This window comes from Homo sapiens, chromosome 2, assembly GCF_000001405.40.
Source record: "Homo sapiens chromosome 2, GRCh38.p14 Primary Assembly".
In the NCBI taxonomy this organism is placed as follows: domain Eukaryota; kingdom Metazoa; phylum Chordata; class Mammalia; order Primates; family Hominidae; genus Homo; species Homo sapiens.
In genome coordinates this window covers 36,388,468-36,415,940 of record NC_000002.12, presented here as the reverse complement: position 1 = coordinate 36,415,940, position 27,473 = coordinate 36,388,468, and the positions used below count along the sequence as shown (strand labels likewise).

Below are 27,473 nucleotides of genomic sequence, written 5' to 3'. Positions count from 1 at the left end.
CCACTGTGCCCAGCCCCAATCCATTATTTTTTTAAATCATCAGACACTCATTAACTATCCCCTAGATGCCAGGCACCGTCCCTGCTTTCAGAGGATATTGGCAGGCACACAGGAAAATAAAATGTGGTATGATAAGCACACAGACATAGACTAAGTATAATAAGGTCCTACCACATAAGTCCTCAGTTAGGGGATGGAGGAAGAATGATTTAAATGGTATGGGCTTCTCCACATGCTCTGGAGTGTGCATGAGATATGACACTCACAATCTTTCATTTCCCCCAGCTAGCCTTGGTTCCACCGGGATTCTAGTGTGACGATAATCATGCCTGAAATAGTAGATGCATGTAGTGAAAAACTTACAGAAAGAATCTATGAACAATTTTAAAGGGAAGCCAAACAAATTGGGATATGGGTTGTGTTGACATCCCTGGGGAAGAAACAAAAGCCTTCTCCAAAGGTCAGAGAAACAGCCTACAGAAGAGACAGAGGATTAGATAAAACAGCACAAGACAAAGCTGAAGAGCTGTAACCAAGAGCTACCAAGGTGGAATTTTCACAATTTTACTGATGTGTTCCAGGTAGTGAAACACTCTAATGACTTGATTTCCAAATAGCATCACCACACGAAGAAAAGGACTCAGAATCACTTCTGCCTCCAGTATACTCTCAGTTTCTCAAGCAGGTAATTTTGACTCCCCTTAGTTTTTGCCCAGTCTTACCCATCTTAGGAAATGGTACCAACTGCTCAAGCCAGAACCCTGGGGTCACTCTGAAGTCTACCCCCAACCTCACCCCCAAATCCAACCTAATTGAGCCCTTTTAACTGTATTTCCAAATGGAACAGAGAATCTATCCAACTCCTCTGCTAGCACCCTGGTCCAGCCACATAGCAGTCTCCTGGCTGGGCTCTTCTTCAGTGGCCTAAATAATGTTTCTGATTCTACTCTAGCTTCCCGCTACAATCCATTTTCCACATGGCAGCCACAGTTGATCTTAAAAAGGGCATCCTCTCATCTCCATCTGAAGCTTCAAACTCTTTCATGGATTCCTATTATACTTAGAATAAAATCCAAACTCCTTACCATGTTGTCTGTGTAACTGAGCCCTTCCCTGCCTCTCCAGCTTCCTCTTCTGCCACTCTCCCCAACACTCACTCAATACACTACAGCCACATCACAACTTTAAGTCCCTCGGGACACAAAACTCTTTCTCCCATACTGGGGTCACTGAACATGGGCAAGTTCACTCTGTCTAGAATGTTCTTCCACGAGCTCTTTGCACAGCCAGCTCCTTCTTACCTTTCAGTCCAACTTAAAACATCAGCTCTTCAGAGGAGAGACTTTCTCAAGCTATCCTATCTCAGTCTCAGTACCCTGTACGTCAACAGCAATCACATAATTTTATTTTTGCCACTTAAGACTGAAAGCTCGGGGGGGGACTAGAACCTTATCTGTCTTGTTTGCCCTGAATCTAGCACAGTGTCTGAACAGAGCAGGCGCTCAATAAATATTTGTTGAATGAATGAATGAATAACAGATTAAGGAAAACTAAGTAGGCATTTGCTAAGGGCTGATAACTACCCTATCCAATGTAACTCTACAGAATAAACATATAAACTTCAGACAAAACAAGCTTTTGTGTGTCATTTAACTTTTAGGCTGCTTTTGAGAGCTGCATTTAATTTTAAGGCTATAAGGATTTGTATATAACAGCACTGCTTCCTAATATTTCCATGTCAGAACCAGACAAATGGCCCACAATCACCGGTAAGATGAGAGCAGAGATGCCAAAGCATGAAGGCCTTCAGCAGTGAGAAAGGCATATGGTACCCAACTGAATTCCCATTAAAAAAGGTGCATTAGGGTGTGCTGCTATTATTCAGTCTCAGGAGAAGCTCATACACAGAAACCTATTGGATGTAAAGCAGGGAAAACACAAATATATGAAGATGTCTCCAGCATACTGTTATGATGTATATTTTTTAATTAATGGAAAATCGGATCTCACCGTTTCATTCTGCAAAGCTTAAAAGTGACCTTTTGCTAATGATAAATGACAATATGGTTGACATATGAATAGGGCTGAAATAGAGCACCCCCATCCAAATACATACACTTTACAAGTGTATGTAATGAAACTAGGTTCTCTTTTCAGCTGTAGAAGAAACATCTTTAGCCAGCTGAAAATTCAGATGAAAATCCAAAAACTGCAAAGATGAAAGAATTGGAACACGGTGACTAAGCCAATGAGCTCAAAATAAGAGATCGCTGACTGCATTTTTAGTACATATCCATTGATACGCACGTGTGTAGGTATCTAATTTTATACGCAATTTGTATTTGTGTGGGATTCTGTTTGTCTGCTTGTTGGTTCTGGGCTCTCTCTGAAACAACAAGCCATTCAATTAGGCTCTGCCGTGGAGCACAGAGAAGAAACATATTGCTTTTGGCCTCACAACCGTCCTTTCCCGCTTGTGTGAAAAGCCTGTGTTGACTGTACTGTGAAAAAAATTAAAGGACAGAAAAGCCCTACTGTTGTAACTATGCCAAAAAAGTATAAAGAAACAAACCCAGATGCTAGAATTTGAGGCATTTCCTCTGCTATGAGACTATGTCCTTTAACTGAAGGTCAAAGGAACATTAAAGGGCTTACATATTTCAAAGTGGTAAGTGGATGTTTTTTGTGGCCCTCTCACTTTATGCATGCAGGTGACATACATTTCACTGACATTTAACAAGCAGAATTTATTCAGCAGCATTCAAGGAAAATCCTGGTATCGCTTTCAAACATGATTTATTTATATTTCTAGCGCTTTATATTAATACAGATTGGTTCATTTTCCTGACAGCCTGAGTCCCTCCCAAATGCCAGTAAGTGAATAAAGTCATTCGTAAGCCCATTTCACATTTACTACCTACCTCAATGTGTCTAGGTGTTGTAATTTTATAACCTTTTTCCTGGGGATATTCATTTATTTTTGATGCTGCAGATAATAGTAACTAATGTGAGATATACTCATTTTACTTCTCTTCTTAGGAAGTACTTCACATAAGATTTAAAAGATCTGAAATGTCTTCTCTGGTAATAGAAAACAACAGTACCTCAGCTCATGGGAAATATAACAAAATCAATCATGTTACATTATGTTAAGCAAACATATATCAAATGGGCCACCATTTGTATACCAAATTTAAGATATCAAAGATATATAAATTTAAGATGTATAAAATTTTGTATATCAAATTTAACATATAGCAAATGGGCCACTATTTAAAATTCATTTGTTTTAAATATGTCTTAAAAACTTTGATATGAGTCATATGGCAAAAATCTTGATACAAAGGTTAGTATGACTGAGGAATACACAAATAATACAAATCCATGAAGCATCAAAGTCAGTATATGATTTAAAAATCCCTCTGAACTGAACAGTGACAGAACTGTCAGATGTGGCAAATATTTCAATAAAGAGAGCAGTAAAATACAGCCAAGAATTCCCACTGCCAATCTCTCGATGGCCAAATATGGAGGCTTCTCCAAAACACAATTTCACTTGGGCTGGGCAAGAATGGGTTAAACGCAGAAATCTGGTGACTTCCATTCTATGTCGATCTTTACCTTTGTCCTCGGTATTCCGTGCGCCCCCCACCCCCTGCGCCCCCATTTGTAGAAAACTGAAACTGCAAGTTAACAGCTACTCCCCTTTTGCTTACTGGAGTTCTTGGTTATTTACTGAGAATGTTTCAAATAATTCTGTTGGGCGTCATCACAGTTACTAGTGGACATACCATCTAATCATGACCCGTAGCAGCTCTGGTCTACCTAAAGGGAGTCAAGCTTTCTGACTTGTTGCTTTAGAAATGTCAACAAAAGGAAGACAGTTTTCGACTTTATCTCTCATATTTCCTTTGAATTCAATAGGGTCAGCTTCACTAGTGTGCGGGAAGCAGATAGACAACACAATTTAATTGCAAAGTTGGGTGTGGTTGTTATAGTGATAAGGGAAATGAAAATGGAAGCAGTTTGAATAATATTTATTTCAGGAGTCATAGCTTATCCTCTATAAGCTATTTACAAAGTGCATAATATTACATCGATTCTTAGAAACGAACCACTGGAATGTATCTCACGGGTTAAGAGTCTATAACTAATGTGCACCATTAAGGAAGACCAAAATTCTCAGGAAACACTTAACCAGAGAATGTAACACTATTATCGGCACTGTCACATTTAATAGCACACAGGTAACTGTACACACACACACACACACACACAAAGAATAAGATAAAAATAATCACATGGTTGCACTTATTTCCACATATTACCTATGATATCATCATGGATGTATATGTGCTTATATACATGTAGCTATATAAATTCATACATGCACATGGGACATATTTGTATACAATGTTCTTCCGGCACATAAAGTACAAAAAATACAAGTGACATGCATAATTTTTTTCAGAAAATGCATTATTTCCTATGCATATGAACACAGACTATTTATTATAAATCCATACAGAATACACTCTCCTGACTAAAGAGGTTTAGTTCTTGATATATCAAAAGGACCCCCAAGGGCAACATTATAATAAGACCTGTACCTAGACAGACATGAAGCCAGGCTGAGAGGCATGAAAGAATATATACACAACATTTTTGGGAGTTCCATGCTGCAATGAAGTGTTAACACCACATAATAATTGTATTTGAAAAATTCCAGATGAAACAGAAATAAGTTAGGTCTCAATCAGAAGGCAATCTGAAGGTCCTATTGTAATTAGCAATCAAAATGCCAAAGGGCACCAAGAACATGTAAGTGGAATAGTATTTTCTTTTTAGTACCACAGAGATAAATGTCACTTTAGATGTTATATGCAAGATATTTATTTAGGCAGTTTAGAACCCTGACTAGTACCCAGATCTGCGTCAGACACGACTGAGAATATGAGAATTTGTTTCATGCCTTAAAAAAGTCAGCAAGCAAGGTCCTCTGAGGTCAGAGCAGGACCACCATGGAACAAGTCCCAAGTTCCCTCCTCAATGTGGCTTCAAGGATACTTGCAGACGCCACGTTAATGCACCCTGCCATGAACTCAAACACTGAAACAAGTGTCTTTTCATGTACACTGTTGCAAAACCACAACTCTGATATTTATAAAAGGTCTGTGAGGCAGATTGGACTTTTTTTTTTTCCAAAGCAGCAGGAAGAGTAAATAACAATATTTAATAGAATATAGATACATAAACAAGATCAGAATGTGTTTTAGGAATCTTTAAAGTGTCCTTCTGTTAGAGGATAACCAGTGTTTTCACCTATCTTTGTATTTTCAGGACTTTTCCTCTTAATAACAGAACATGGGCACACATTTTAAAGAGAAAAAAAAAATCCACTTTCTAAACTGGGTGAAAAGACAAAAAAAGAAAACCCTGACAAGGACAAGATACAATAGTAGCTCATTTTACTTATATAAACAGCTTTCCTCTATGTCTGTAAAACTTGGATTTTATCTGCAGACAAATAAATGGATATATTAAGAAAAAGACACAGCAATTTTTTAACATTATTAAATTCCTGTATTGTTCTTTTGTTATTGGAACAGGAAAAGAAAGGCTACTGATAAGGATAAAGCACTTCATTTGCTTTTCGGGAAATTGAAAAAAAAATCCCAGTGACAGAGAAAAGAATAATGAAGTGTAGGAAAACTAGGAAGTTGTCAACCAGAAACAAAAAAAACACATCCTCGATTTAGAGGGACATTCCAGTTCCTTAAAAACTCACACAGACATTAATTCATGTTAATTCCTTCCCTTTTCCAACTTTACAGGCACCACTTACTGCTGTCACCTCCTCCTGATGCAGAAAACACTTAGCAAGAGAAACCACGAATCAAAAGCAGGAAGGCACACTGTAAGAGTATATCCCTACCTTTGCATGTATCATCAACCAATGGGAATCCATTATTCTTATCTTAGAGCGTATGCACCATTAAAAGAATGGTCTCATAGCTTTTGAAACAAATTATTCAAATGCCCCAGAACAGTATGCTTAGTGAAGGTCAATATGAACTAGGGAATGAGTCAAATTTTATTATTAGAATGCTTCTTTAAAAAAACTCAAATATTTAATTTTAGTGCTCCTAAATACCTTTCTTAAGTTACACATTTCACAAAGAACAAAGAAGTGCCAATTCTAGAAGTAAACATATGTGTCTATAAATCACAAAGTAGCTTTTAAACTGATTAAAGTTAGCTTTGATTCTTGTTTATCAATGTCTTCTAGAATGTCTACCGGGCATAACACTATTCAGACTGGGTATGGCTGCTCTACCCTCATTATAACTCCTTGTGTCTATGATCTCTCCCACTAGACTTCTTAGGGCGAGGTCCTTTCCATATTCATCTCAAATGCCCCTATGCAATGGGCCAGCCCCAGGACAATCCTCCCCAAGTGAGCAGGGCTCAGTCAGGAAGGGGTATCATTGACTGCAGAAATCCTTGCTCCTTCTTTCTGGATTGAATTCAATATGAATTTCACAATTAAGATTAAAATGTGGGGATGCTGGCAGAGGTAACACTCTAGGGTACAACCAATCAAAAAGGGTAAATTTAAATTTAAAATTTTTCCTAGATTATAGTTACTGGTGGAAACGAGAGAAAGATGATGCTGGGCTTCTGAGGTGGAAAAAAACTAAAAGAATAGGGAGGGCATAGTGGGAAAAAGACAAATTTGGCAATCTTTACAATTTTCATGTAAGGTTAGCTCTATTAACCTTCAACAAGAACTGGAGGAAAGTAGGGCTTTGCTTAGTGGTATATTTTTACGTATGATGGTATGCATTCAGCCCTGCTTCCTCCCATTAGCAAATTATTTTCTTTTTTAATTAAAACTCTCTTTATTTAAAAGAGCTTTTTTTTTTTCCCCTCTGAGGATCTCTTAATCAAGATACTAGTAAATATATAATACTGGCAAGACAGGAGAGTAGAAAAAACACAGTGTCTAATAGAGATTCCTTACCTATAGTGATAAAATTATAAGAACATTTGAAATGATCACTTTTTTGACTGTCTGTGAGTTTATGCTAAAGTGGTTATGCTCCCAGACTCTTTCTTGAACTTCCCTTGCACAGACTTTTTTTTTTTCTTCTCATAAGCAGGATATAAACTGTCCAGCTTGGTTGAGTTGTCCAAAATCCCAGATCATGGTCTTGGAATACTAATTACACTAACTAACGAGGTTTTAATTGCCTGACAGCTCCTGCTTATGCAAACCCTCTGGTTGATGGAGACAAGCCTGGGGCTGCAGCTCCGCTCTGCAGGAGGCGGAGAACCCCTGTGGACACAGAAGGGACAGCTCCAGCTCCCCTTAGAGGGAAGGGAGCTCTGCCATGGGGAGTGGTCTCCACTCACAGCATCCTTTGCCAGCAGCTCAGAAGGCCTCCCGGGCTGGGATTCCAGATCCTTTCTCATGTCAGGAAAAACCTTTGTGGGGGCCAGGGCTTAGCCGGACACAGCTGGGCAAAGCAGCAACTCAGCAGCTCTGTGTTACAGAGCACACGCCGAGCCCTGGGAAAAACTGAGAGGTCACCTACAGCCAAGTCAGAAACCACAAACACGCGCAGGAGTGCTCAGGGCTACCCCAGCAGTGAACATGTCACCCTGCTAAGGTCAGTCATTAGACCAACATTTTTTAGGCATCCTGGGTTGGTGAAGTTTTAGGCACGGCCCTCAAGAACACCATTTATCTGGCTCAACCTGTCAGGTTGTTTTTGTCCTTGCAATATTAACAATAAGTCTCTTTTAAAAACACATAGTAAGTACATTCTATTTAATCCTGAAATAAAGCCCAGATGTAGCAAAACCTGCTCACCTACAACTTCTGGTGCTCCTTTAACCAACCTGGGATTAGGTATGGAAAGAGGACAGAAAAGTGCTTGAACTAGGCACATCTTTGGACAGAAGAGATGGCTTCAAAGCTCAGAGTTAAGAGTTAAAGCAAAGAAGAAGGTGAAAAAAAATCCATGAATGAATGGTATAGAACATTATTATGCTGTTTACAGATGACTGTATAGAAAGTATCACTCTAAATGTCAACTGGAAAATTTGTTTTTTATACCAATCCTTTTTGTAACCTAATGTGTAGGAATAAAGAGGCTCCTTTACACTCACACTCCTGTTGGTAACTGGACATAAGATATTTAATCGTGACTTCCTTTTTTTTTTTTTTTTTTGACGGGCACAAGAAATCACAACAACCAGAAGGTCGCTGTATGACTTCCAACAGTTAAAATGCAGGTATAATTATTCAACCAACAACTGCTCCTCTCCAACTGGTCTCAGGCCAAGTTCCCTGAGTTTCCTGTTTTTATTTCCCAGATAATTTGAAACTGGTTTCTGCCTTTTGGTAACCCTTTTATTTTCCTGGTACCAGTTATCAAGACATCAGAACAACGATTTAAAACATGTTTCTAAGGACAATTCTCCCCAAAATTTGTATCTGTAACAAAAAATTTTTAAATATTAACTGTCAACGTAAATAAAAGTACACTACTTACAAAAATATGTAACTTTGTCTACACTTTCTTTCCCAATGACATCGCTAGAATTTAAAATGAAACACATGTACTTGTATTTTAAAGTCACTTTACATATCTGTGTTTACAGATATACATATACATACACACGAATATGTATATGTGTGTGTGCTTCTGTATATATGCTCCAAAAAAGAAAAGACAAAGAATATTGTCAATTTGTGATTGTCTTTACAAACAGAGTGGGATAAAATTTAAAGTTGCATAATGGTCTTACTGCCTTATAAACAAGTACCTTTGATGGCACTTGGGAAGCTAAAGGAAAAATCAGCTGGGACCTTGATGATAATGAGATCCCTGACCCACGCAGAAGGTGAGGTTAAACGTGTTTTCCTTTGGTCAAGGGAAGGGAATTCCAGATCCTCTGCTCATGTCAGGAAAAACCTTCGAGGGGGCCAGGACTTAGTGTTTCTAAACTTGATAAGCAGTGTTAACTGGATTCCTCTAAAATAAACTTTTTAAACAAATTATATGAGCTAAAGCAACACATTCACAAGCATAATACCACTTTCAGATGTAACTAGCCTAAGAAAACTAGAATCTATGATGAGTAAGTTTGATGAAGCAGCTGTGTAACTTAAAATTTAGGAATCTGTACACATGAAAGTCCTGAAGCAAAGAGGGCATGGCCCTTGCAATACAGAATGCTTGGTTTCAGGACGAGTAAGAGAATCAGTTTGAGAGGTTATCTTTTTTTGTTTTTTTTTGGGGGGGGGGGAGGGGTCAAATATTAGCAGAGTTAAACTAGTAAGACTTATCAAGTTTAAAACACTAAGTCCTGGCCCCCACAAAGGTTTTTCCTGACATGAGCAAAGGATCTGGAATTCCCTTCCCTTGACCAAAGGAAAACACATTTAACCTCACCTTCCGGGTGGGTCAGGGACCTCGTTATCATCAAGGTCCCAGCTGATTTTTCCTTTAGCTTCCCAAGTGCCATCAAAGGTCATATATTCCACTATCAATGAGTATATTAACAGCAGTTTGGAAAGGCCAAGAGCTTTCCCCAAAATCCTTTCCCTTAAACTTCATAAACCTTATAAAATGTACAAAACCCACCCATTTCCATCCTCCCTCCAATGGAACAATTACAGTGGTGATAATTTGTAACGACTGTCTTATTAGTTTAACTCTGCTATATAATACTCTCATAGTAAACAGCAATTATATTTTTGGAGAACATATAATTTAATTTTCAGTATATCTGATTTTGTGAATTAATGATTATTTCTAATACAGTCAATAACATATTAGGAAATATTTTGAAATAATGGCATTTAATGCCATACAGGAGATCAATATAATTGCCAAAAAAAATCCATAGACATAAAGTTTTAGACATATTTGTAAAGTTTAGCAAAGACCAAATGGGTAAACCTATGAAAAGGATCAACTCTATTAAAAGCAAATGATTTTTCCAGCATCCGAGTCCCAGGGTTTGTTTTGTCCCTTACCATGAGGTCCTGTATAATATGAAATATTTCATTTTTAATTTAACATTTACTTGAGAAAAAAATTTTTTAATTGCATAATGAAATCATTACCATGTATTAACATTTGAAGCAAAGCAATGTATAAGATATGCTTTTTTAAAAAAACAATGAAAGAAGTAGTGGAAATCAAAATTAGGTCCAGTGACTACTTGAAGATATGATGTTCTCTGACACCAGCACAACAAATCCATTTCTCTGTGCAGCGAAGTCGATTCACATAAACACTCTATAACTTTTCTACTCAAACTGTGGTGAAAATGGGCAGCAGCAGCTTCTCCTGGGGCTTGCTGGAAATGCAGATTTCCCTAGCCCTAGTCTAGTCCTAGTTAAGCCAGCTCTCTGTGTGACCATCAAGCTCTCTCAAGTTTGAGAAACTTAGGAGACACCCTCAGTGCATGATACCCAGGCTCCCCATGGACCTTCAGCTCCGTATGGGACAGCGGGTAGGGGCAGAGCTGGGAGCCTCTGTCTTCCCTGTACTTATGCAATGGCAGCAGGTTTCTTGCTACAGCTGAAAAGTGTCTCCATGAAGCGGTTCTAGTGGCAGGAACATTAAGAGGAAATTCTGTTGCACTATTTCAAAGGCGGCATGAATGCTAATACTCCCAGCTCCACCAGATCACATTTACTTGGGTGTTTTCTGTGAGCATTTTCTCCCACGCACATAAAAAATACCCAAAATGCTTTTGAGAAAAAAAGTTATATAAATAAAAAATGGCATAATATTTCTTTCTAAATACTAAAGATTTGTTTACTGACAAACATTACAGATGACATAAGATTTACAACATTTTATTAGGCCACACACAGCACAGGGTTGTACTACAGCCTCTAGACCAAGGACGAGGTAACAATCGAGAATAAAATTTAGCACGTACGCTTTACTTGTGTAAAGAAAAAAAGGAAGTGAAATAAGTGAAATGTAAAAAACTAAAAATGGAATAAAAAACTCATGATATTACCATTTCCTTAGGTAGCACTGAAATAGTAAATTTAGAGTACAGGATAATTAAGTTAATGATCTGAGGCAACTGTTATCTGCGCTTTTAAAAATGAAAAGAAAAAAGGCTATAAAACAGAAGTCTTTGTGTAAAAATTAGTTTCATTTCAGAGAACATAGCCATACAATGTAAAATCAAAATATAAAAACAAAAAAACAAAGCAAGCTCCCATAGTATATTGAAAATGTGTTGCAATTTAGGTCATTTAGAAAATAGTCCTCAGGTAAAAGCAAACTAAATTTGCCCTAGTGAATCTGAGGTGTAGTGGCACATGGCATGTGCTCAATACATTCTTTTTGAATGAATACATGAATAAATGCATGAATGAATCAACAATTAAAGCAGCTCTAAACTGAAAGCGGTCGCCTCGGAAGGTACTTGTAGAGAATGCTGAGTACCTTCTGGACTGAAAGAGTCTATGACTATAATCCTATTTCTTGACCTCTCTATCCAATTACTTAATCATTTCAGTGCTTCTACTCTGAACTAGCCCTAATTCCAGGTGTGGGTCTGACCAGCTCTACTATAGTCAGATACTTTTAAAGGCTTTTTTGAACAAGGGAGTATAAATTAGTCAACCAATCAATTAACAATTAATTAAAATAATGTATTCCATTTTATACATCTCAATATCATGGGCACTGGCAATTGTGTTTTAGACTTTCACTTGGCTAACAGTAGCAACCCTTGGATTTTCTTCTACCATGCTAACAGAGGAGTCACTTCCTGTGCCAGCTTCCCTGCACGGGGTCCTTTTGTATAAGATACACTTGGTATCACTCTTGGTGTGTTAACATTGCCAGTCACTTTTTTCCTCCATTATGCACATTACTGTCACATTAATCTTCCTAAAAATGCTCATACTCCTCACATCATTTATGTACTCAAAAAGTCATTAGACACCACAGTCTCCCTCAGAGGGTGACTCATAAATTCTTATCTCCAGCTCAGATCTCTCTCTGAGTTCCAGACCTGTAACTCTCATCCTCCCCTTGATTCTCCATAGATACCTCAAACATAACCAAACAGAGTACCTACCTCATCCAACCTCCCACAAAGCTGCTCTCCTTGTATTTCACATTCTAATAAATGACACCACAATATATCCTATCATCCTCCCAAAATCTATCCTGACCACCTCCTCTCCAGCATTTATCTTGATAATAGTCCTCCCACAATCTGGAAGTCTTCCCTTTCTTCATCCCCGAAAGTCAATCAGCCACTGAAGCCCACTGATTTGGCCTCCTTAGTATCTTCCTATCTGTACCTCTCTGTCCGTCCTCTCTTTTCTATCCAAGGCTGCTCTTAAACTCTCCTTCCCTTCTGCTGAGCCAATCAACAAATTTCTCAGAGTTGGACCCAATTCCTAGTTCCTCCACAAAACCTTCCTTGATTTATCCATCTTATGAATGCAACACGGTTCTTATTTGTCCACTCAATATAAAACAATGATGTATAGTATCACACGCCAATTTTTGATTGTCTATTTTTTCTCTATATAGAGGAAATAATTCAAAACAGCCAAAAATCATAAACCATTCAACGTTCTCCAAACGTTTTCAGCTAAAACAGAGGAGAATTATCTAAAGCCCTAAGTGTCTTCCTCCTTTTGCAAAATGTTCACTGTGCAAGCAGCACTAGGTTCCACATATTCTACACCAATCTAACCCATGTGATGTGTGATGCAGCAATGATGAAAACACATTTTATGGATAACACAGACACCTCTTCAGCCAGTTTCTGCCTGGTGATAAATCACTGCAAAGTAGGTTATTCTTATTTTTCTATACAAACTCCTGATGAGGTTATAACTTTTTCTGGAGAGATTTGACTTTTCTCAGGGATATCTCTTTGTAATTATACACCATAGAGCATGTATGTATGAATTCTACTTAATGAGTTACTGAATTACATTTAAAAATTGCTTGTGACAAATAGTTCTATGTGGATGTCAAATTTAATTTGCCCAAAACTCCTGGGTCCTTCCTAAATCTGGTCCTCCCTCTAGTAAAGGGCACTACAATTTGCTTAAACTCCACATCGAAGAGTACTCTTTGATTTCTCTTTCCCTCAACATCCATATTAACAACTCCTGCTAATTCTATTTCCAATGGTATCTCGAATGCACCTAATTCTCTTCATCTCCAGCTCTCAGGTACGAGTCCCCATTATCTCTTACATGAACTACTAAAAGAACCCCTACCAGCCAGCTCTGTTCATACTCTTACATCTCCCTACCCCAACCAGTCTCTTTTTCCACCATATTCATCTTTTAAAAGACAAATCATGTCAAACCTTTGCTCACAATCCTTTAATGGCTTTCCTGTGTACTCATCACAAAATCCATACATCTCATCATCTTCTACAAGGGCTCAGGTGGTCTGGCCCTTACCCCTCCCTCCCCCCCATTCTGGTCACGCTGTTTCTTCTTGCTAGTCCTTCAACACACCAAGCTTGTTCTCTCCTTAGAGCTTTTGCAGTTGCTGTTCCGTCCATATGGAATTCTCTCTCCTCAGGTCATCATAAGGCAAACTCCTTTGGGCTTTGAGATTTCAGTTTGGACTGCCCTTCCTTCATAGAATATGTCCCTGAGGTCCCTGAATACAGCAATTTTCCAAGTAATTCTCTATCACAGCATACTGGTTACTGTTTTCCAAAGCTTTTATCATACCATATGCTATTTTCTTGTTTATTTATGTATTTACTGCCTGTGTGACCATCAGGCTCTCTCAAGTTTGAGAAACCTAGGAGACACCCTTGGTGCATGACACCCAGGCTCCCCATGGACCTTCAGCCCTGTATAAAAATGTGGGTGGGCACAGAGCTGGGAGCCTCTGTCTTCCCTGTACTTAGGGGATGGCAGAAGGTTTCTTGCTACAGCTGAAAGTGTCTCCATGCTAGAGTTCCGGTGGCAGGACTTCAGTCCAAGTCCCCCTTTGGAGTTAAGCTCCATGAGAGCTGTATCCTCAACAACTACAACAGTGTCACGTATGTATCTGGCATTTCATAAATACTTGCTGGATGAAATAAACAGATGAATGATTTCCAGGGTGTTTTATATTCTTCACCAAATGTGGCATGGTTTCACATTTCTGATTAATTCTTGAATTATGACCACTGAATTACAATAATTTTTTTAAAAGCCATGTACCCAACTTGGAATTATAGGCAAACTTAAAAGTTCAACTTATTCACTGCATCATGGAAACCTTTGGTATTGACATTACTTATGACCACTGAGCCCAGAGAGACCCCTAGAACACACCTGTGGCAGCTGCAGAGGCTGGCGCTATAGAGGCTGGCACTGCTTTTACTACTGCATCAAACTGATGTGCCCATGGTGCACTAATTTAACTTTTGTGGTGCTCAGTCTAACATATCCCAAATCACTGATGAATAAGTAGTAAGGCACGGAAGCATAAACTTTGTTAAGATCAAGGTGGGATAACTTGCAGGTCATTCCCTTTATCAGACTTCTTCCTTAGAAAATACAGATCACTCTGACAAACTATTCTGCACTAAGCCACGGCTGACTGTTATCCAGTATCCTATTTCCTTTATATTTTTAACAAACTGATTTTATGGTGATATGTTCAAGTATTTTAGAAAAGAAAACACTGAGTAAAATTGAGGACCAACTCCTTTTAAACAAACATAAGTAATACACAGGAACTTTTTCAATGCCCAGAAATTTCCAGTATTCTCCATAAGTCTATAACATTGAAATGGCCTGCAATGACTTCCACACGTTTTAAAAAATGTTATAGCAACATTTCGAATTCATTTTCAGCATCACCACCAAAAACACAGAAATGGAGACCCATGTTTTCTCATTATGCTCTGCCAAGAATACCATTCTGCTTGCCCTATCCCCACCACTGCACACCCTTAATACTATAAACTACTCAAAGAAGAGTCCCTAAAAGGAGGCTTTAACTAGACTATTCACCTTCCTGTAAGAGATTCGAGAGCAAGTCTAAATTCGCCAGGTCATCCATCATCACTGCACTCTTAACCCCTCCTGGCTTTGCAAAATCACCCATGCCCTGTACAAGCCTCCCTCCCAAATCCCATTCTGTGCCTTCTAGAGCTTATCAACAAAATTCTTTCTGCCCTCATTCTTCCATCTGGATGTTCCCTTCACCTTCTTGTGTAAATTGAAACCTAGGTAGTACCTGATTACTCTTTTTCCCTTGAAGTCTTCTCAAATGGGAATGGCTTTATCTCCCACATTCCATAAATCCTGGAAGGGGCATAGGTATCCTCTTTGTTCTCACTGCTACTTAAAGATCATTCTTCCTTTTCCCCTTTAAAAAATAAAACTTTCTCCACTTGAAGCATAAGCAATTAGGTTATCACCAGCCACACGGAGGTGTGGCATTTACCTGCAGAACCTCTGGCTCCATGTCTCTTCCCTGCTACTATTCCTTGGCATCTTCATCATTGGTAGAGGCACTCCATCCTGACTCACCTATCTGACCTCCCACCCCCAGTGATGTTGTTCTTCACCCCTCTTCAATCAACTACATCATCCATAGTAATTTCTAACCCTCATTACAACCAATAATAACTTTCTCTTCAAGTATTCATTTCTACTTGCTTCCTTAGCTATCTCACTCCATTAATTCTTCAATCCCACTAGAACCTCCCCTCTACTCTCCATATCACTGACTCCCTGATTTTGTCTCCTTCTCAGTGTAGATTAAATGGTCAATCACCATAAAGTTCTCTTATATAATCATCAATCCCCATGACTCCCTCTCTCTCTTTCTACCAGAATGGTCAAGAAAATACCCAACCGGCTACCTCTCTACCTAAACTGCACACCTACATAAGAACTAGAGAAAATCACGCAACTGTGCTGGCCAGCCTCTTTTCAAAGGCATAACCACTAACCTCAAGTAAGCTGTCAGCACCAGTAGGTGACCCTACTACATTTCCCTAGTTAATTCATTTGTCCTCTCCTTTAAAGATGTCTGTTTACATTTTCCTCTTTCTCTTTGATTTTCCACACCCTTTCTTCCATCTCAATGTCAGATGATGACCTTCTTTTATACTTCCCTGAGAAACAAACAATTTTGTCCTTTTTATTCCTTAAAGTCTTTGCTCCTGCAATCGCCTTTCTTACATTATTGGCTTTTCCTTCTTACTAAATCATTCCGGTCATGATCCAAACATGCTGTAGTATCTCCTATATTTTCTTAAGCTCTTCTTGACCTCTACATTGCCCTAAAATAATTACCCCTATTTTCAGTACCATTTTATCACGAGACTCCTCAAAAGTCTTCCTACTTCTATTACTTGCACTATCATTCTATTTCAGGTTAGAAACCCTAGAATCATCTTTGTGTAATTTTCATCCTTCCCTTTCCTGCTAGCAGATACCGTAGGTTCTTCCATCAAAATGGTGCATATCCATCTCTTCTTTGCTGTTTTCCTGCTGCCACTCTAGTCCAGTTTCTTGTGGTAACACATCTAAACAGCTGAAAAGCTCTCCAACGAGCCTCTTGACTGCCATTATCTCCCTCTGCTAATCCAGTTTGCATTCCACCACAACCAAAGTCTGCCTAATGTTGACTTCACCATCTTCTTTCTGATTCTGTCTGTTCATAAACCTATAATGATTTCTGATTGCTCATATTACCCGGCTTAAGCTTGTTGCACAATGTTTAAGACATTTCATAATCTGGTCCTATCCTCCCTCCAATCTTTATTTCCTATTGTCCACCAACATAAAACTCTGCTCTTTCAGACCAGTTTCCCAAGTGTATTCCATGTAAGTCATGCAGATTCCCACTTCCACATTTTCTTCTTTCGTCCATGTTGGCCTCACTTCTGAAATCTATCATCATCACTATTCTAAATCGTTCAGTCTACCCTCCATGATACCTTATCACACAATTCCAAATCATACTTTCTTGGCATTGAGGTCCTATAGCATTCCAAGTCTCTGTCACTATTAACGACGTGACTATTTATTAAGTATGATTTCATCACTAATTCTTTCATATACAATATATACCTGAATATAAGTATGCTTTTTCCTTCAAAATTCCTTCTCAGAAAAGGGAAATCCCCTAATCCTGACTTCTTACAAGATCTCACATACTGCCTGGTACTTTATTTTGAATAACAAAGCACTGTTTGTAGAAGATACATTAACCTTAAATGACCTCAACTAATTCCACATTTGGATTACATAGAAGCCATCTGAAATAATAAGTTGGAAAATAACAAGTAAAGAAATTCAATCAGATACGGTAATTATTCCTGTGGGAATGATCTCAAAATTGGAAATGCTGGATCTCACAAACAGCCTTTTTAGAATCACTTTAAAAATCAATAAAGTTAATCTCCACATGTCAATCTCCACATTGCAAAGATCATAAATACACGCCTAACTAATTACAAATGCAATTGTCCTAATTTTATGTGACGAGACACTGGGTTTTGGGACAAAACTTCCTGGGATAGCATCATCCTTAGATTCAAAATCTGCTGCATCTCAAACAACTTAGGTGGCAGTGAAGAGGGCATGTTCAGGAGCAGGGGATTAAATGACCTGGAAGGGGGCCTGAGTAGAGACAATGACAGCAATGGTGACGCACTCACCATTTAGGACAGCTTCCTGAAATGTAAGAATAGCAAAAAGTAATGATTCTAAATTGTGTATGACTTTATATGAGTAAGTTTAAATGTGTATGCGTAAATTATTAACTATGTAAACAGACATGTGATCACGTCATCTATATCCCTAAATGTTTACATACTGAAGTTGGCAAAATACCCTTTTGTGGCAGGCAATGGGTGTGGGGAGCAAAGGGCAACCGAACAACAGAAATGAGTTAGGTAACCCATGGCATTGTTTAAGTCATGATGTGACAGGAAGAATACTTGGTGTGATTAGTACTAGCACTGATACTCATCAAATGCGTGGAAACTCAGTTTCCCAGTGTTCAAGTTCAAGGACTGGACTAAATGTTCTCTAGGATCCTCTGCAATTCGCAAATGTTATTTCTATTGTTTTCTACTCTATTCTTTTCTAATGATTCAGGAGCACTGGTAAATACAAAGAGAAATGTTATTTTGTAGGCTACTGCAAATTTCTTCTTCCTTACCATTTAATATAACTTGGAAACTAAGTACATTTCCAAAACTTCAGTCCTGCTTTACTGCCCTTATAAGCTTGATTTTTGGACTTTAAGAATCCTTGGTATTATATTACCAATCACTCCATCTTACAACGACATCATTTTAGAGATAAGAGGTATATTTAAGAATGCCTCTTTCAGTACTTTTTTCCCTCAAGAAGAAACTGGGGCTACGAGAGTTTAATGCTGGTTAGCGGCAGAGCTGAGACCCAAACCCAGGCTTTACCCCTTTTGGCTATGAGCCATGGCACCAAGCTCTGGGTACTTCACTCAAGATTACTGTGGTGATGAGTCATATATTCAATTTCTTGAAGTTTTTTCTTGGTTGTATGTATGAATGTACAAAAGTTATGAGCCATATCAGTATAATTTTCTTGTTACTTGAATGCAATTTCTGACTTATCTCCAGAGGTGAAGAGCCTAATGATCCCTCCACGCCCTATGTGATTCCTGCCCTCCAGCAAAACCAACCTAAGCCTTCAATCATCACTGCATAATTCTCCCATTTCTGCTAAAGAGATAACTCTTTCATGCCAGATGAGCCGCATTTCTAATTAGCAGACTCCTCATGGAGCACCATCCTACGGTAAATCAAACAGAATGGACCTGGTGACAACAGATGCTGATCTCAAGCACACCGCTTGTGAAATCATCCATTATGCAGAGGTGGCCTAGGAGGGCTGGCACAGAGGGCCCTGCTCACACCACCACAGCACCGCCATTCCATAGCGTCTCGGAAACACACCCACCACATAAGCACCTGGTAAACTTTATGCATCTTAGTTGGGATTATACAAACTACCACTCTCTGTAAACTTGTCTTTGCCTTTTCAAGCTCAAATACTATTACTACTCAGGGTTACATAATGCTAAGGCTTACGACTGGATGGTTAACAAAAATTAATGCTTACCTTCAATTCTCTTTAAAGCTGAAAGGCACATATCCTGACTTGGAAACTCAAAGGGATTGCTGCAGGTTCGAATGGTGTTACATTCACATTTCCCATTGATTATATTGCAGCCAGCAATAAGGTTTTCATTGCATGGTTTAAAACCAAGCAGTTGGTCATCAGTCCAGTTCTCATCTGTAAAACAATTAACAACCAGATAATGTGTGTTTGCAGCTTCATTCAAAGGCCTGTTCGCGGGCAAAAACGCACTGGGATGTCAAGATTAACATTCAATTTTGACAAATCAATTTGTGAAAGGCAGTCTGGCTGAAACTTTACAAATGAATGAAACCCAATCTCTTCATAATAACTGAAAAAAGTGAAATAATAGCCATCCATGTAGGCATTAAATAGCTATATGCACAAAGGTTGGAAATAAAAAACCACTACTTCTCTTAATGTGTTATTACAACAACAACTGAGATGCCTTTAAAAATGTTTAATATCAAATAAAGATTCCTGGGTTTTTTCATGTTCAATAAAATTACAAGAGTCACATTTGTCAATCTACAAAATTATTTTTTAAAGAGCTCTTTTTTGGCCAGGCACAGTGGCTCATGCCTGTAATCCCAACACTTTCAGAGACCAAGGCACGGGGATTACTTGAGCCCAGGAGTTCATGACCAGCCTGGGCAACACAGTGAGACCCAGTCTCTACAAAAACAAAACAAAAAATTAGCTGGGAATGGTTGTGCATGCCTGTGGTCCCAGCACTCAGGAGTTTGAGGTGGGAGGATCACTTGAGCCCACGAGGTTGATCACGCCACTGCATTCCGGTCTGGGAAACAGGGTGAGACTCTCTTTAAAAAGCTAATTTTTTACTCTATTGATAGAGACCAACTTCAGGTTTAAAACAGCTCTTCAACTTACTACATTAAGGCAGCTAATAATCAACATCAAAAATCAGACACCACCAAAAGAGTTACAATGGAGGGGATCCCCTCTAATGCGTTTGGGGAGACTGATAGTATCCATCACTGCCAACCCAAAGCCAGAAACAACAAAAAAACTAAAGTGGTGCAGCTTAGTGACAGGCTGAGGTAACTGAATACAAAGGCTGAGACCAAATCAGGTTCTGATCATGGAATGGAGCAGGTCACAATAAATAAGGTCGATTTTAAAAAGAGCTATCATGGGACTCAGCTCCAAAAAATGCAATGAATATGACAGAATCATATGCAGGCTCAATTCTTCATAATATTCCTCATAGGAAATTAGACTATTTCTCTCTGTGAATCCTTGGGCCATTATATGGGGTTTTTTCACACTTAACATTATCTTTAACAGATACTTTACCCACCTGAAATGGGAACTGACTGTTACATAGTAAACATGTTTCTGATAAGCATATCTGAAGAGAATTTTTTAAAGTACCTGAATTTAAGAAACCTTAAACCTCTTGCTCAAACTAAGGCAGGTATAAATGCCATCTTAAAAATCTGTTTTTGGCTGGGAGTGGTGGCTCATGCCTGTAATCCCAGCGTTTTGGGAGGCCAAGACAGGCAGATCACCTGGCCATCAGCCTGGCCAACATGGTGAAACCCCATCTCCATTAAAAATACAAAAATTAGCTGGACATGGTGGCGCATGCCTGTGGTCCCAGTTACTCAGGAGGCTGAAGGGGGATAATTGTTTGAAACAGAGAAGCAGAGGTTGTCGTCAGCCAAGATCATGCCACTGCACTCCAGCCTGGGCAACAAAGTGAAACTCCGCCTCAAAAAAAAAAAAAAAAAAAAAAGACAGTACAAACAAATGGCTCTTATTTTTATAGGGTAAGCTTTTATTGCTGGCATCATTGCTCAGTACGTAAGTGAAGTAAAAGTCTGCTCTTCCTGACTGAAATAAATAATTTTCTCATCAAGAGGTCGTTACAAGAATGTCATCTACTACATAAAGAGCTTCAGGGCGGTCCTTTGAAAAGGGAGAATAGAAAATCTCTTGTTTTAGATTTCAGGAGATCAGGCTCACTTATTTGATCAAAGCCTCAGCTTTTAGTAAAATGATTATCTTTCAGATTTGAAGTTTATACCGACACACAATTTATGTTTTATTTAAAATCTGTTCTCCTATTTAGCCTAAATTTGGTTCTGAGAAACAACATACATATATAAGATATATATATATGTTTTATATATATAGACAGAGAGAAGCAACATACACACACACACAAATATAACATAGACACATAAAGGTACATTCCTATCTTCAAGACAACAATGAAATTAGTAAAGTACTCTGAAAGGAAAATCAGAAAAAGAAGAAAAACACCATATTGAAAAAATTCAACATAGAAAAGAAGGTGATATTTGTCTTCAGTTATAACAAAATGTGCATCCAAGTGATTTCTTATCTGTTTAACTGTTAACATGCCAGTAGTACTAGCATTTTACTACAGTTCAGTCAGATTTGCCATGAAGGAATTTTTGTGACTACATATGCAAATTTATAACTGAAAGGCAGTTTAGCCCTAGGAATTAAAAAAAACTTGTAAGAAATTCAAGTAACATTTGAACTACTGGAAGCCATGTATATTTGTCCTCCTTTCCTTCACAGTTTTAAGAGGAAATCTTTATTACTGTTCTTATAAATATGTGCAGTTATTGAGTTGATCCTATTGCAGAATTTTTTCCACAGTAAACATCCCTTCCCACCATTCTAACTGGAACTCCCTGAAGACACCACTCTCCTGAATTACCACAATGTCTTCTAACCTGGCTCCCTGCCACTATTCTCTTGTCTCTCCACCTCATTCCCCACAATGTCCCCAGATCCATCTTCCTCAAAAAACAAACCTGCCCAGTAATTCTCTCTTGGCAATAAGAAAATGTCCCAGCTTCTTACTGCTGAATATCAGCTTCTTCATGGCATGGCTTGTAGCTACTTCTGCAGACTCATTTTTCACCAGTCGCTCTCACATCCTAATGCTCTAGGCACACTTGAGGCTCTTACCAGAAACACGCAGGAACTGCTCCCATGCTTTACTCGGGAGTGTCGTCCACCTGGAATACCTCCTTCCCTTCTTCCTCTGCTATCTCCTGCTCATCCTTCAAAACCTAGCTCAGATGTTACCTCTTTTGAGAAGCCTTCTCTACCTGCCCCAGGAGAATAAGCTGCTCCATCCTCTATGCTCCCGCAAACATCTGCACAGACCTGTTGTCCCCTACCATAGTGGTTTTATGTAAGCCATAATTCCCCGGTAGACAAAGAAGCCTCACATATGCATATATACACACATGTATATATATGTATTATACATATATGTGTATATAGACACACATATATGTCACTGGTATGGTCAATGCAGTTGTGTCTTTAACAAAAAAAGTGTCTAATTAAAAAATGTGTGTGTGTATACATATATACACACACATATATACAAAACATCACAAGGAAAACTATGTTTCAAGATAATATAAAGAACATGTTTAAACAATACAAATCCTATTTTAAAAGCTTATCATTACAGCACTGTATGAGGCACACATTTCAAAGAAATGCTTGGAATACTGGGCACATTTCTCACTAGGCATCATCTATCATTACTCTCTTCCCCCCGTTCAGCTCTAAGACTTCAACTTCTTATCACCTGGCTGGCATCAACAGTCCTTCCAAGCAGCCCATCTCACAGCTAATTGGTTTTCACTGCCAGATGCTTTTCTCTGCCTCCCCACAGGAAGACCATTTCCCTCAAATCTGGAATCACAGCTAAAAGGCCTTTGATGAGGCCGCTGGCCCCTTGCTGTTTTCTGCTGCTTTCTCAGCAGAAGTTTCCTGGCAGCAGCAGCAGACTCACCTGAAGATGCTCAGGTAAAGGTGACCATTCCCCTCAGAAACATTGCTGCCACTATGTTCAGCCAGGAAGCATCACTGACTCTAAAGCTAACAACATCGTAGACACTTTTATTTTCTTTTTTTTGAGAGTAAACTCTTTCAATTCTCTGCCCGCTCCTAATCAATACTTTGTTTTTCTTCTTGGGAAATGGTTTCCCTAGCAACCACCGCTTCATAGGATCAAGTACAACATGCTACTGAGACAAATGCTTTTCTGGTATTCAATTACAGAACACTATATTTTAAAATAATTTAACAAAATCAACAAGGACTGAAAGCAAAAATGTAATGAGGTTGGATTATGGAAATCAAATCTGAGCCCAAGAGTTCTGCTAACAGCAGTTGGCAAATTATGTTTTAAAATCTCTCTTTTCCTAAGTAAATCCACATACACAGCACAAGAATCAAGGTTCTGATTCTCTAACATAGCTCCTGGTTTCTCCTTGGACTGGTCAGGAAAAAAAAAAAGTTAAAAACAGAGGTACTGGTTTTTAACTATATGAAGTAGGTTTTTTCCTGGTACCCTAAATGTGACAAGATGTAGTCTCCTAGCCTGAAAGGTGAAGACAACTGAGGTACCTCTGCAAATGTATTTTTAAGTTTATAATTTCTGCAAGATACCAAATTAGGATATTACATAAGTTACTTTCTCTAAGTATAAAAGAGAGAAACCTAATTTCATAAATATATTCAAATTCATATATGTTCAAATATGTCCAATATTGAGTACTACAGTGAAGTGCCAGGTATATTAAACTGCTAAACCAACACTTCCACTTGGATGTTCAGAAGACATCTTGAAATATAACACTTTTTCTCATGACAAGCTCTGTACTTCAGTATGCAGCAGAATTACTTTATGTGTATTTCCCATTTCATCCCACAGAACATTAATAAGATGTATAATTGAGGGCTGAAATGTAATAAACTTAATAATTTGTATTGCTTCGATCAAGGGCATTCAAGGAAACTAATTTTTATTTTATTATTTTAATTCCTTACCATTTTGCTTTACTGAAAGTACACGGTGAATACAGTAACTTACTAGCACAATTTGGTGCCACAACCTCTATTCATACTAAAGTATCAGGAGTTTTATGTACCATTTTTTTTTTTTTTTGCACCATTAGTGCAAAGTGGAAAAAGAAAAAAAAGCAAATAAAATGTTAATAGGATTATGGAATTAGTTTTGACCTGATTTACCACCCAAAAAGGGCTTCAGGCTTCTAAGCGGTCTGTAGCCCACACTTTGAGAACTGCTGTTCTAAAGAGCATGTCCTGCAGGTACACCTAGGCCAAGGAATAACAAAAGAATGCTGGGTACCTCTTCTAACAGTTACCGTGGAACCATAAAAATGAATGTTTCTTTAATGTGATTTAGCCAATATGTAACTGGTAAATAGGAAAATGGTGTCAGTATAATACAGCGGTTCTGCTGGTTCTCATGTGATTTTTCCCAGCACATTAATGTTCTAAAAAAATCAAAAGTGGGCCGGGCGCGGTGGCTCACGCTTGTAATCTCAGCACTTTGGGAAGCCGAGATGGGCGGATCACGAGGTCAGGAGATCGAGACCATCCTGGCTAACACGGTGAAACCCCATCTCCACTAAAAATACAAAAAAATTAGCTGGCGTGGTGGCGGGCGCCTGTAGTCCCAGCTTCTCGGGAGGCTGAGGCAGGAGAATGTCATGAACCCAGAGGCGGAGCTTGCAGTGAGCCCAGATCATGTCACTGCACTCCAGCCTGGGTGACAGAGCAAGACTCCAACTCAAAAAAAAAAAAAAAAAAAAAAAAAAAAATCAAAAGTTGGCCAGGCGCAATGGCTCACACCTGTAATCCCAGCACTTTGGGAGACTAAGAAAGGCAGATGACTTCACCCCAGGAGTTCAAGACCAGCCTGGGCAACATGACGAAACCCTGTCTCTACAAAAAACACAAAAATTAGCCGGGTATGGTGGCGCATGCCTGTAATCCCAGCTAATTGGGAGGCTGAGGCATGAGAATTGCTTGAACCTGGGAGGTGGAGGTTGCAGTGAGCCAAAATCGCACCACTGCACTTGAGCCTGGGCGACAGAGCAAGACTCTGTCAAAAAAATAAATAAATAAAAATAAGTATCAGGAGCAAGTTTTCTCACAGTTAAGTCTTACCAGTATATGGAAGACCTGAAGAAAAGGCTGAAAATTTTGCTTAAATTCCTTTCTTTAGTGCAAGAAATGACTGCTCTCGTGGTTAAAATGTCCTCTGTATTAAACTATCTGGGGAAACTGCAAGCAGAAATGAGAAGGCTGGAGACACTTGCCCCTGTACTAAAAACAAAACAAAACAAACAAACAAACAAAAAACCCCCATAAAAACAATGATGAAGAAACTACTGGATGTTATGTTTAATTCTGGTAACACCGTTCCACATGAAAAGTAAGTATCTTCAACACCCCGTGCCCTGAAAGGAGGCAGAATGAGCTTCGGAGTGTGGAGGGCTGCAAAGCATGGGCTACCAGAGATCCAGGTGCAAATAAATGCCAGGGACAGCTCACCTGGGCCAGTATTTTTATTTGAGTTCTTATTGTTTGCATTTATCCTCTATACACACAGATGCATAGGTCTTGAGTGACCTTCCCCAACCCTATTTTTTCCCAACAGCTCTCTTATTTTTAGTGTAATGAATGATTTTGCAGAATATGAGTAGGTTTTTTTATTTGCTTTATAAGAGTGAACAACTTATATTGCCAAGGCAGGAAACACCTGTACTTCCAATAGCTACATTCAGTCTTGTCCTGGACTTAGTCTTTCTCCTCTAAGAATATCTTTCAATATTCTCGGTGATGCCTGAAATTCTTTCCTTCTACATTTGACATGAAAGATTTTCAATGCAAAGGCTAGTTGGAGAGAAGTTTCCATCCTGAGGGCAGGAAAGTGGGCACTGAGAAGGATATGAAGCATGAGGCCTCTTACAAGATGTGTGGAGGCATAACGAACACCAGATATGTGAAGAAGCAGCTCCAGCAGATATAGCCCCCTGTGCTAAGGAGCTACAGGAACGAGCTGTGGCAACACTAGCCTGAGTGGTCCTGGATTCAACCTCTATGCTCTTCAACATATCTTTCCATCTGCTTGCTGGTGTGTGAAATTCCACTAACATGAAACAAAACATTTCAGGTATGAGTGCACGTACTGGACAAAGTACTGTGTGTTCACATGAAATTTCTGCCAGCCTGAAGGTGGAAGGCATTTGTATGCTCAGATTCTTACCTTTTCCACCTTGTATCTGTTTAGGTTAATAGAGTTTACTCCAAACCAAGAGATGGCTGCATCCTATTATATGGCAATCCACTTACCAGAAATATGCTATAGCAGATATTAAAAAGCAAGAAACAAATTCACAGTACACACGCAGAAGCTCACAGTAATGGAATTCTGTTGGCAGAAGAGAAGCTCCTGGGAATATATATCAAATTAATTCTCCAGCTGTTCACATATCCCTGTGGCTACAGGAAGATGCAAATAGCTAATACTGGCATCTCTTTTCATGCCAGCCTAAAAACTCCAGTGTAATGTAAAATCGCTGCTCTTAACTCCCCCAGCTCCTGGCTGGCTGTTATCAGGCATTCCGTTCTGCTCGAGGAGGAATCTAATACAGTCTGCTTTCATTCTCTCTGCTTCAAGCTTAAGGCCTATGTTCCCAAAGCTGGTGCTTCCTTCTCTTTCTCTTCCTTGTGCCGCAATCAGTGCAAAGCAGGAAGGGCAAATTTATGGTTATCAGTAGAAATGATTCATGTTACAAAAATGTATTTTACAGACATTTCCACAAAGTGAAAAAATTTTAAGCATATGTAACTATAAACCAGAGTGGACAAAGCCTGAATCTTTCAAACAATGGAATACTAAAGTGTGGACACAAATATTTGTTGAAGACTAACTTTTAAACTGATGTAAATGTCTAAATGTATAACAAACAACAAGAACACTGATTTGTATTATGTCCAAGTGAGGAAATCACTGAAAAACAAGCAGTACTGATCCAATATAATAAATCAACTTACAGCAAAATATTTGTTATTAAGTATATGTCCCATTGCTGTACTTTTCATCATACACCTCAGCAATACAACTAACAGAGAAGCACCAGTTTCATGTTTCATGTTTCATGAAACAAGAAATGATAAGGACAGGAGAAATTGGGGCTACGGGACACAACTCTCCTACTTCACAGTTCTGCCTAACCTAGGGGCCATCTTAAACTGCATACGAAGAAACAGCCCAGAGGGGGATGGTGTAATGGAGAGGACCTTGGCCCAGGAGACCACAACCTTAGCTCTGTCACTCATTCACGGCAGGACCCCAAACAAGGCATTTAGCTCTCTAAGCTCCAATTTTTTAATTACAAAAAGGACATAGAATGGATAATCCATGAGGCCCCTTTAGACTTTATCCTTGTGTTTGATTCTAGCA

General features: G+C 38.8%; 1 protein-coding gene across 13 annotated transcripts in view; it reads right to left on the bottom strand.

The window, feature by feature from the left end:
• Nucleotides 1-27,473, bottom strand: part of CRIM1 (cysteine rich transmembrane BMP regulator 1) — a 195,358-nt gene that overhangs the window by 135,195 nt on the left and 32,690 nt on the right. For 10 of the 13 annotated variants that reach the window (XR_007076383.1, XM_011532898.4, XM_011532899.4 and 7 more), the window contains one exon: nucleotides 19,154-19,327. The exons of the other annotated variants lie outside the window; for them this stretch is intronic. Coding sequence is in view for 9 of the 10 variants with exons in the window: in XM_011532898.4 (XP_011531200.1) it covers nucleotides 19,154-19,327 (174 nt within the window). In the remaining variant the exon portion in view is untranslated. The remainder of the gene's footprint in view (nucleotides 1-19,153; nucleotides 19,328-27,473) is intronic. 13 annotated transcript variants of the gene reach the window in all.